Source organism: Homo sapiens, chromosome 11 (assembly GCF_000001405.40).
Source record: "Homo sapiens chromosome 11, GRCh38.p14 Primary Assembly".
NCBI classification, from domain to species: domain Eukaryota; kingdom Metazoa; phylum Chordata; class Mammalia; order Primates; family Hominidae; genus Homo; species Homo sapiens.
The window spans coordinates 93,360,947-93,373,294 of NC_000011.10; the positions used below are offsets into that span (position 1 = coordinate 93,360,947).

Consider the following 12,348-nt stretch of genomic DNA (forward strand, 5'->3'; position numbering starts at 1 on the left):
TGAGTGAACTTCAAACAGGATAAATCAAAAGACAGCCATATTAAGACACATCATAGTCAAAGTTCTGAAAACCAAAAGACAAAGAAAAAAATCTTGGAAGCAGCAAGAGAGAAATGACACCTTAGCTATTGGGGAAACCAATTCTGATAATGGTGGCTTTCTCTCTGGAAACGATGGAGGCTTTCAAGTGCTGAAAGAACAGAGCTTTCAACCCAGAATTCTATGTCTGGCAAAAATACCCCTCAGGAATGAAGGGGAAATTAAAACATTCTCAAACGAAGGAAAACTAAAAGGATTTGTTGCTGGCAGACCTACCCTAAAAGAATGGCTAAAGAAAGTTCTCTTAACAGAAAAGAAATGATAAAGAAGGAATCTTAAGACATCAGCGAAGAAGTAAAAACACCAAAAAGAGTAAAAAACATGGGGGGAAATGCAATAGACTTTCCTTATCCTCTTGTATTTTCTAAATTTTTTGATAGCAAAAAATTATAACCTTGTCTAATATGGTTTTCAGTATATGTACAGGAAACACTAAGATAATTGTGTTATAAATGGAACAGAGTAAAAGAACATAAGGAAAGTAAGATTTCTACACTTGAACTGGAAAGATGTCAAACACCAATAGACTGTGATAAATTATGTAAATATAGTGTAATACCTACAGCAACCACTAAAAAAGATCTACAAAGAGATATACTCAAAAACACTACAGATAAAATGGATTCTAAAATAATGCTCATGTAATTCACAAGAAGACAAGAAAGTGAAAATAGAGAAACCAAAAGCTAGAGAACAAACAGGAAACAAAAAAGGGCTTAAGCCTTGACATATCAATAATTACATTAAATAGAAATGGTCTAAATACACCAACTGAAAGACAGAGATTGACAATAAATTAAAAAATGACAAACTCACTTCAAATATAACTATATAGGCAAGTTGAAACTAAAAAGATGGAGAAATATACCATGCAAATATTAATAGAAAGCAGAAGTGGTGCCAAGATAATTCAATAAAGAAAGATTAGTCTCTTCTACAAATGGTGCAATGACAAGAGGATATCCACATGCAAAGGAACTAAGTTGGAGCCCTACCTTAAACCACAGACAAAAATTAACTCAAAATGGATCAAAGATCCAAATGTAAAACCTAAATCTAAAAAGCTCTTAGAAGAAAACATAGGAGTAAATCTTCATGACCTTGGATTAGGCAATGGTTTCTTAGATATGGCATCAAAAGGACAAGCAACAAAAAATTAGACAAATTTGATGTCATTAAAATTTTAAAACTTTTGTGCTTCAAAGGACACCATCAGGAAAGTGAAAAGACCCCCAGCAATGGGGAGAAAATATTTGTAAACCATATATTTGATAAGGGACTAGTATCTAGAATATATGAATAACTTACTAATTAATAATAAAAAGACAGATGACCAAATTTTAAAATGGATAAATATTTGAATAGATATTTCTCCAAAGCAGATATATGAATGGCCAATAAGCACATAAAAAATGCTTAACATCATTAGTCATTAGGGATATGGAAACCAAAACCACAATATCCATTCACATCCACTAGGATGGTTATAATAAAAAAGAAAATAACAAGTGTTGGAGAGGATATGGAGACATTGTAACCCAATGTATTGTGAATGGGAATGGAAAATGGTACAGCCATTTTGGAAGACAATTTTTCTGTTCATCAAAAAGTTATTAAAGTTACTATAAGATCCAACAATTCCACTCCTAGGTATATACCCAAGAGAAAGTAAAACATGTATCTACACAAAAACTTCTATGTAACTGTTCACAGTAGCATTATTTATAATATCTCAAAGTGGAAACAACCCACATTTCTATCAGTTGATGAATGGATAAACAAAATGTAGTGTATTTATGCAATGGAATATTATTCAGGTGAATTTTATAGTAGGTGAATTATATCTCAATTTAAAATTATGAGGAAAAAAGCAGAAGTGGCTACTTTAATTAATCTGATAAAGTAGACACCATTGTTCATAGCATTATTTACAGTAGACAAAAACTGGAAAAAATCAAAATGTCTCAATATATGAATGGTTAAACAAACTGATACATTTATACCATGGAATACTATTCAGCACTAAAAAGGAATTCATGCATGGCTTTCACATTAAGCTGAGTGAAAAAAATACAATCCCAAAAGGTAATGTGCTGTATGATTTCTTTTTATAACATTCTCAAAATTATAGAGATGGAAAACAAATTAGTGGTTTTCAGGGATTAGGGGTTGGGGGATGAGGGGACTAAGTGTGATTCTAAAGGGATAGCATGAAGGAGATCTTTGTGGTGACAGAATAGTCTATATCTAGATTGTGGTTGTGGTCAGATAAATCTATATATGTGATAAAATGGCATAGAACTATATACATATATTGGTCCAATTTCAATTTCCTGGGTTTGATGTACTGTGGTTCAATAAGATGTAAATATTGGGGGAAACTGGGTGAAGAGAACCTGGGACCTCAGTAATAACTTTGGAACTTCCTGTAAACCTATAATTATTTTAAAATAAAATGTGTAAACAAGACACATTTGAAAACAGATACATGAGTATAGAAATTTCCTCACAAATGTTCATAAACTATGCTACTTTGAATCTATTATTTGAAGGTAGAACAGGAAATGGAAAAAATAATACAATGTTATAAAAAGAATTATCATTAAGAAAAATATTAGATCAATTTTGATATTAAAATTTATTTAAACGTATCCACATGAATAAGTGGCTTATGTTACTTATGTCTTTTAAATTAATACATATTCTGTTTTCTTAAGTAAGGTATAAGCTAGTTATTTTGTAGATTTACTGGATTTAAAATTGTAAACACAAGACGGCACTAACTAAAAGTAAGAAAAAAACTTGTTTTTTAAAAAAATTGTGAGCTTTGCTGCATATGATTAAAACAAAATTGAACAAGCCATTTATCAAGTGAATAATTGTTTAACTGTGCAGTTAATGAATCTCGAGTTTACATGAAAGCTGAATTGTGTTCAGCTTCAATAATTTAGTTTTAATAACTGGTTCTGTCTTCACTAATTGAAACATTTAAGCTTTACTGCACTTTCTAATCATGACAAATTTTCAAAGAGGTACACAGGAAAAGAGATATAGTGAAATCAGGTTAGAAATAATTGGTAATAGTAAAATGTTAACATTTTCTGTGATTTACAGTTTTCCAAACTAACAAATAACTTTGAAAAACTGAGATTACATCAGATGAAACAAAACAAAGTTCCACGAAAAGAATTACCACACCTTAAAGAAGAAATACCCTTTGAACTGAGCAATTTGAACCAGAAATTAGAGGTGAGATATATTATCTTAGTTTCTTCATGTGTATTAAAGATTGATTCCTATTGTTGTGGGCTATTTGTCTCTAGTGTCCACAATGGTGTCTTCAGTTGTGGTAATAAACACTATTACAAACTAACTTCTCACTGAATATATTTTCTTAGTGCACCTTCCCCTCAGGCACTTAGTGAATTAAAACATCACTTTGATGTATACATCTTTTGCATATATCAGCATTTTGGGAGATTAAAAAAAAAAGAGCCAAAAAAGTCAAAAGAAACTGCAGCTGTTGAGTAAAATTGAAGGACACCCCTGGGGTCAGTTAAAGTGAATATCTAATAAATCTTTTAATGGCCATTTAGCTATTAGGTAGTTAAATCCCAATGAAGCCTCATCACAGTTTTTAAAACAGGGCTTGAAGTTTCATGGTTTTTTTTCTTTAAAGGCATAATGTCACTCCAATTCAATTGCCCCAAAGCATTCAGAATTTCTAAAATTTTGGTCTCTAAAAAAAATTCACTATGTCCTCATAACTATATATATCTACTATGTACCCACAAAAATTAAAAACAAAAAACTTTAAAAATACACTGTGTCGTTGATGCACTTATTCTTATCTTCTTCGTTTTCCAACCTTGGAAAAAACAAACCAGCTATTTTTCTTCCCTGTGTTCTTGAGCATTCCTCCTACAAGTCATGGAACAGCAGAAAGATTACACTATAAATTCCTATCATCTACTTTTACCTGGATTCTCAGTACTGCCCAATTATTATTTTTTAATTGACTTCAAGTTGACCCTTATGTTATCCCACTTAATTTCTTTCATTTTTCTCAAGCCCTAAACCCCAGCATCCCTCCCCTTGCCAGCACTTTTTCATCTTTAATTAAAAAGTCCTTCTACTTTAAAATATCTTAAAGAGCAGAAAAAAATTAAATCCGGGATCACAGCCCTAAAATCGGCTTATTATAAGATCTTTGTAGGAAGTCCTAGATTTTAATCTTTAAAAGTCCAGCACATTTTACATGCTTCTGAATAATACATAGTTTTTTAAAAAAACAAACTTACCATCACTAAGTAAGTTGGCCCTCTAGGAAAATGCACTGTGTTGTACTCCCAGGCTCTTGCAGTGGTACAACCAGACGGGCTTCAGAAATATCCTGACCTCATGGAAGATGCCGATAGATGTGCACTGTAATATACATGTGCTTTCACTGAAAATGAAGAGATTGAGTCACTAATATTCCATTCGACTGACTTTTCATGGGCTTTTGTGGGAGAACTACATTAATAAAAATTTTTCAGACAAAAAAAGCCTTAAGTTAGTATCAAGTACTTTGTGTATGCACATTTTACATTTAGGAAACTAAATATTTACGTTATATATATGTAATGAAATTATAGTGGAAATTAGTAGCAAAATATTTTGATATGTTTGCACTTACACAAAAGTTTTTAAAGACTCTATGCAGATATACAGTTTAACTTGAAATAATTATAAAAACACTTCATGTACCTGTTTTTACTTATAGCCATCTGATAAATTAATGTGTAAGAGATTGGCCCTTCCAGTTTTAGTCTGCAGGTAAACCTGTTTTACCTTTGAGGTGTTTAATAGAAGTATAGTAATAGCAGTGTACCACATGTAGTAGTCAAAGAACATGATCACTGATAACTGAAAACAGGCCTTGCCTGACTCATGTGTTTGCCCTGTGACCTTTAGGCAAGTTGTTTGCCTCACCAAGATTCCATGTTGTCATCAGTAAATGGGGTTTAAAATACCTTATATGTAACATTGTTGTTATGGTGAAAAAAATTTAGATGCACACTGAAGCGTTTAGGGATGAAAACACACGAGGTCTAGAAGTCACCTTAAAATATACCAACAAAAAAGGGTGAAGAGATAGGAGAAGTAAAGATGGACTAAGTTGATGGTAGTTAAACTGGGTGAAGGGTACATGGAGGTTTGTTTTACTCTGTGTGTATGAAAATCTTCATAATAAAAAGTTAAAACCGTTTTACAGGTGAAGGTCTCCAACATATAGTAATCACTAAAGACCATCTCCAATATTTATTAGAGGGCTTTTTAAAACATCTAATAATACAGCTATCAAGAGAAACTAATTTTAATGACCCTGATCCACTCTAAACCTTAAAGATCCAGAAAAACTTTTCCAGCCATGAAGAACTTACTGTTGGAGGTCCAGGCAAATCTACAGACCCTCTGAAGCCTATCGTGACAACTCCAGTCTCTATAAAAACCCTTATGAAGCTCTCTAGGTCCCTGCATGGTTCCATACTATTGGATATATTGCGCTGACTCGCTAGTTGTGAAACCAGTACATCTGAGAAGAATAAGGAAGCCAGGATTGTCATAAGCACCTGCTGATATGTTTGTGACACACATTTCTAGCTATTCTTGGCCACGCTTCTACCTGTTGTAGTATTTATAAGAAGTTGAGGTTAATGCTTCTGCCTCTAAAACATCCTGGGGAATATTTATTTTCAAGATTATTTGAGGTTAATGAGTAAGAAATGCTAAATATTTCTATTATCTAAAACCTGTGAACAGCTTAAGTCAATCTTGCCCAAAATTTGACTTCTAACTCCAAAGATTCCTTTTTAAATTAAAAGTAAACAGAAATTTTTTAAATCTAGATTGCATTAATTTGAAATGTTAGCTATTTTCTACTAGAACCTCATTTTATAAATTTGCCATTATTGCTAAAGACCCTGTTTTTATGTACCTAATTTTTGTATGTCGAATGTCAGAATCGAAGTCAATAACTTTAAATGGACTATCTCCATTTATCATAGTAAATATAGTCTGTTTATCATGAGCTACTGTTATATGTGGAGGGTCTTTCCATATTTCTTCTTCGGCCTTAATACCATCACTTAATATCAGGTCACCCACCTTTCATTAAAGTAAAAACTTCCTAATTTATAGCCTTCCTTCACTGATTGTTTAGGCACTTATGGATTTTAAAAACTAAAATTTCCTTAAATGTTCTTTAAAATTATTTCTGTATAGAAAATATGAAATGCCATGTTCTTCTCATTTTAACAAAATAAAGCTTTCATTCTCTAAATTAGCATTTGTTTTCCAGCATTGCCAATCCAGTCATTTCAACCATCTTCAAAACAATAGTAACCACTCTGACTATAATGAACTGTTCCAATTTGATATATTGTGGGAAATAGCTAAGATAATCATAAAATCCTCTGCATGGCTTTTATGTGTCAGCATTATTGTACTTAACATACTGACATATTGTAAAATTATTTGTTTGTGTGTATAGTTCCCTACTTTATTATATATTCCTTGATTTTTTCTTTCAAAAATTTTTTTAAATTATGAAATAGTTCCAGATTTTCTTCTTTCCACAGAACCTGGTGGACATTAACTGCTAAATAAATATTACTGAATTGAGGGTTGAAAACATCACTACATTCATGCCATGTTTCTATATGCAATAATATACAGCCATGGACTTAGTAGCTATAAAGTTTGTTTCCAACCATGTTGTTTTCTTTACAACATTTTTTGAGAATGTTTAAATTCTAGGAAATGCCAATACTGTACCATGTTTTTGTTCGTACATTCATGTAATATAAGTGGCACCTGGCACTTTGTCAGGCACTGTGAATGGTACAAAAGTAATAAAGAGCCCTTACCCTCAAGTTGTTTAAAGCCTGGACAGAAAGATAGGATATAAATGGTCAGCCCTAGGCAAAATGGAGAAGCAGCGATGTCTTCTTTGGCATCCCCAGAGCTATATCCTTTGCTCATGTTATTAAGATATGAACAGATAATCATGCTGTATAACTGCACTACTTGAGCAAAAACTTGAAGAACTGATCCTGCTTTATCAACCTGCTTCTACCATTTCTTTCCCAGTTATACCAATTGGTACTGCCTAAATGAGGCCTGGCCATGGCCACAAGGGGCAAAGTCACTGTCTTAGTTAGTTCAGGCTGCTATAACTAAATACCATAGACTGGGTGGCATAAACAACAGACATTTATTTTTCACAGTTCTGGAGGCTGGTAGTCCAAAATCAGAGTGCCTGTGTATTAATCCATTCTCACACTGCTATAATGAACTACCTGAGACTGGGTAATTTATGAAGAAAAGCGGTTTAATTGACTCACAGTTCCACAGGTTGTACAGGAGGCATGGTTGGGGAGGCCTTGGGAAACTTAGAATCATGGCAGAAGGCAAAGGGGAAGCAAGGCATGTCTTCACGTGGCCAACAGGAGAGAAAGAGAGAGAAAAGGGGGAAGTGCTACACACTTTCAAACAACCAGATCTCATGAGAACTCTATCAAGAGACAGCACTAGGGAGATGGTGCTAAACTGCTAGAAACCACCAGGCTGGGCGCAGTGGCTCACGCCTGTAATCCCAGCACTTTGGGAGGCTGAGGCAGGCAGATCACGAGGTCAGGAGTTTGAGACCAGCCTGACCAACATGGTGAAATGCTGTCTCTACTAAAAATACAAAAAATTATCCGGGTGTAGTGGCACGTGACTGTAATCCCAGCTACTCAGGAGGCTGAGACAGGAGGATCACTTGAACCTGGGAGGTAGAGGTTGCAGTGAGCCAAGATCGTGCCACTGCACTCCAGCCTGAGCAACAGAGCGAGACTCCATCTCAAAAAAAAGAAAAAAGAAAAAAAAGAAACCACCCCCGTGCCCACCAGCCACCCCCCAACACACACACACACTCGGGATCACAATTCAATGTGAGATTTGGATGGGGACACAGAGCCAAACCATATCCCCCAGCATAGTCAGATTCTGGTGAGGGCCCTTCTCCTGGTTCACAGATAGCTGTCTGCTCTTTGTATCCTCAGATGGCAGGGAGAAAGAAAGAGAGAGGAAACAAAATCTCTCATAGCTCTTCTTATAAGAGCACTCATCCCATTCATGAGAGCTTCACTCTCATGACTTAATTACCTCCCAAAGGCCCCATTTCATAATGCTGTCACTTTGGGGTTTAGGCTTGACATATGTATTTGTTGTGGGGGACACAAACATTCAGTCCTTAATAGTCACTAAATAAGTCCAAGCCCCACCCTCTAAAAAAACAAGAGGAGAAATTTGGCAACTGAGTGAATGAAGGAAAAAATATTTCGTGTCAAGAAATAGAAAGAAAGTAGTGGCAAATGCAAAAAAAAAAAAAAGTTGTTTGAAATTCCCTTATTAGTAATAAGTATTTGTTATAAGACAGACTTTTTACATTTTTAACAATAAGTGACAAATTCTGTATTTTCCTAGCAAAAATTAGAGATGGTAAAAAATCCAACATGAATGATTTGACACCTTTTCTTTTGTTTGTTTTCCCTAATAGGTAAAGAATGGATTTACGGCCGGGCGCGGTGGCTCACGCCTGTAATCCCAGCACTTTGGGAGGCCGAGGCGGGCGGATCACGAGGTCAGGAGATCGAGACCATCCTGGCTAACACGGTGAAACCCCGTCTCTACTAAAAATACAAAAAATTAGCCGGGCGAGGTGGCGGGCGCCTGTAGTCCCAGCTTCTCGGGAGGCTGAGGCAGGAGAATGGCGTGAACCCCAGGGGGCGGAGCCTGCAGTGAGCCGAGATTGCGCCACTGCACTCCAGCCTGGGCGACGGCGAGACTCCGTCTCAAAAAAAAAAAAAAAAAAAAAAAAAAGAATGGATTTACTTTTTTTTTCTCAGAATGAAGATGTACAAATGAAAGAAGCCTTATTTGCTGTACTTTAAAATGAATAACATTTTTAAATATGTTTGTCTCCCCACTTTTTAAAAGGAATTTAGAGCAAAGTCAAGAGAATGGGACAAGCAAGAGATATTATATCAGACTCATCTGATTTCTTTAGATGCTCAACAAAAATTATTATCTGAGAAGTGTAATCAGTTTCAGGTAAGTTATCTAATACTATTCTCTAAATCAAAAGCAGAAGTTAAATATTGGTATCTTTACCATTCACCAGTAATCTATTTACAAACAGACATGCCAACTAAGAAAAAACGAGAGTAGGTCCAAAGGTGGGTACAGTCACAAGTGCATAGAATATCTGTTAATGGTGAGTTTAGTCTACATGTCTCAAAGGATGGAGCTATTTAAAATTCCATTGTTATTGTGTCATTAAATAGCATATGTTTTTGCATGCCTACAGGCAAGGCACTCAAAGAATTTACGATTGCTTGCTTTACTTTGTATTTCCCTGGCTACTTGTAAGACTGAACATCTCCTCATATACTTTTTAGCCTATCTCAGGTCTTTCTGTGAATTGCCTATTCATAAACTTTGCCCATTTTTCTTTTGCATTGTTTGCCCTTTTCTTATTGATGTGTAGAAGTGTTTGTACACTAGGAATTATTAACTCTGTTACATGCATTGACAACTTTTCCCCTACAATCAAATTGTTTGTTTTTATTTATTTTTGGTTATAGACTTTTTTCAACCATTGTATAATTGAATTTTTTACACCTTCTAGATTTTTTTTCTTGCTTAGTATGGCTTTACTACCACTAACCTCCTTCTCTACTCTACATCTTTGCTCTGAGGTTATACAAATATATTTTCTCTATATGCCATCTGAAATTGAAATTTTAAAACAAATATAAGACTGAATTACAAAGACCCAACTTTCATTATGTAGTAACATATTTAAAGATATTCCTACTAATTCTTTTCTATCATTCTTGAACTTCATGTAAGCTTAAATATGACATTCTTCATTTGAGTTACACAGTTTTTATATTTTTCAGAAACAGGCACAAAGTTACCAAACTCAACTAAATGGTAAAAAACAGTGCTTAGAAGACAGCAGCTCTGAAATTCCTCGTTTGATATGTGACCCAGATCCCAATTGTGAAATCAATGAAAGAGATGAGTTCATTATTGAAAAACTGAAATCAGCTGTAAATGAGATAGCACTAAGCAGGAATAAATTACAAGATGAAAATCAGAAGCTCTTGCAAGAACTGAAAATGTACCAAAGACAGTGCCAGGTGAAGATTAATTTTTTTTCAACTAATATTGTCCATGACTTGTATAAATGGTAACACATATAGAGATTAGAATGATTAGAATGGTAGTTTTCTATTATTAATATATGTGAAGATTCCATTCATATTTCCTCTTAGTAATTCGCACTTGATGCGTAGATTCAATAATCCCATAAGTATGTTACCACACTTAGAGTGCACTTTGGTTCTGCGGTGGCATAATAATAATGTATTACCAGTGCAATATAATAGTGGTCACTTACGGACCTCTATGCCTTTAGCCATGTACTACCCTCTTCCCCCACTATTTTCTCTTACCCTGTGTTTCTTTGACTCAGAAGAATCCTGGGTTAAAGATACAGGAAATCGTGAAGGGTTCAACAATTTAGTAACCTCAGTGAGAGCTATGGAGATGACTCCAGTGATTTATCACTGGTAATCTTATCATAATCATTTATCAAACAGTAACCTAGAATTTATTTTTAGGTAACTTTCACATTGACAAATATGATTGATGGTTTAACAAGCATTAATTTTTTTTCTTAACTGAATAATGTTTTTTTCTTTTTTGTCTATTTCTTGCAACCTTTAGGAAGGTTATACAGCATTCATCAAAATTGGTCATTACCAATTTCTTTACAAAATATGTATTTCTTTTTTTTTTTTTTTGAGACGGAGTCTCGCTCTGTCGCCCAGGCTGGAGTGCAGTGGCGGGATCTCGGCTCACTGCAAGCTCCGCCTCCTGGGTTCACGCCATTCTCCTGCCTCAGCCTCCCAAGTAGCTGGGACTACAGGCGCCCGCCACTACGCCCGGCTAATTTTTTGTATTTTTAGTAGAGACGGGGTTTCACCGTTTTAGCCGGGATGGTCTCGATCTCCTGACCTCGTGATCCGCCCGCCTCGGCCTCCCAAAGTGCTGGGATTACAGGCGTGAGCCACCGCGCCCGGCCCAAAATATGTATTTCTTATTCATCAGTACTTGAGACGTTCTTTTATCTCCCATTTTAGGTTTTTTCTCCCACCTCCAAATATTCAGCCTGTTTCTATCACTTCCTCCATGACAGTTGGCCGATATCTTTTCCCCACTCTATTCCCTCGTCTACCTAGCATACATGATTGAGGTAAGGTCACTGCCTGAGAACTTCCATTTCATTTCCTTGAGATATACCACCCCAAGATCTTTTGCCACTTAAACTCCCAGGGTCATTTCTTAGTCCTCAGCCAACTCCTCATTCCCCCACCGTGCCACATCATATTTGGGATTATATAGGGAGTTAGTCCTTTAACTTCTTTCTCTGCCAGCATCTACTGTTCTATGTTCCTCTTTCCCCATGCTTGGTAAGGGACAGAATTCAAGGCTCCCAGTCTCTCCCATTCAGAGGCAATTGTAAGACATACATATTCCCCACTTCAAACTCCAGCTTTAAGGAGGGAGGTCTTATTCTAATACAAGTTAGAATACAGATGTAAACCAATAAAGAAAGCTAATCTACAAACACTAAATGCAGAGGAAGCCAGAAATAGTCTGGAAATAGCAAAGGTATTGATGGTGTTTTCTCTGGCTTCATTCTAATATAAATGAGGTTAGCACTCATTCATCTGCTCTAGAGGGTGCCTAGGGGCTTCTAAGTGCTTAGCATCAGCCCACCTCCGACTGTCTGAGCTGTGTTTGCATGACTGCGGGTCATGCAGTGATGGGGTCTTTCCTTCTCAGAGGCTGCTGCCTTTTGCTTCGCTAAGTATATGACAACTGGTCATGCTTTCTATTTAAAGGCAACCTATACTTACATTTTGCAGCTGTCTTTGTACTGCTGGAATCTGCATCAGAATCACATTCAGTAAATAAGAAAATTGTTGTTCTTGGTACTTCCCAAGTATTCTCCTCTAGGCTTGGGGTCATCCAGTGCCAACCAAAGCATTCTCTGCTTTGTCCCTTCTTCTTTTGGCAGGGGAACAGGTGGTGGTGGTTGGTTACATAAATAAGTTCTTTACTGGTGATTTCTGAGATTTTGATGCA

At 35.6% G+C, this 12,348-nt stretch overlaps 1 protein-coding gene across 15 annotated transcripts in view; it reads left to right on the forward strand.

Annotated features, from left to right (window-relative positions):
• DEUP1 (deuterosome assembly protein 1) overlaps nt 1-12,348 on the forward strand; it is a 108,473-nt gene that overhangs the window by 30,949 nt on the left and 65,176 nt on the right. For all 15 annotated transcript variants that reach the window (XR_007062456.1, XR_947798.3, XR_007062457.1 and 12 more), the window contains exons 5-7: nt 3,214-3,348; nt 9,127-9,240; nt 10,092-10,334. Coding sequence is in view for 12 of the 15 variants with exons in the window: in XM_011542631.3 (XP_011540933.1) it covers nt 3,214-3,348; nt 9,127-9,240; nt 10,092-10,334 (492 nt within the window). In the remaining 3 variants the exon portion in view is untranslated. The remainder of the gene's footprint in view (nt 1-3,213; nt 3,349-9,126; nt 9,241-10,091; nt 10,335-12,348) is intronic.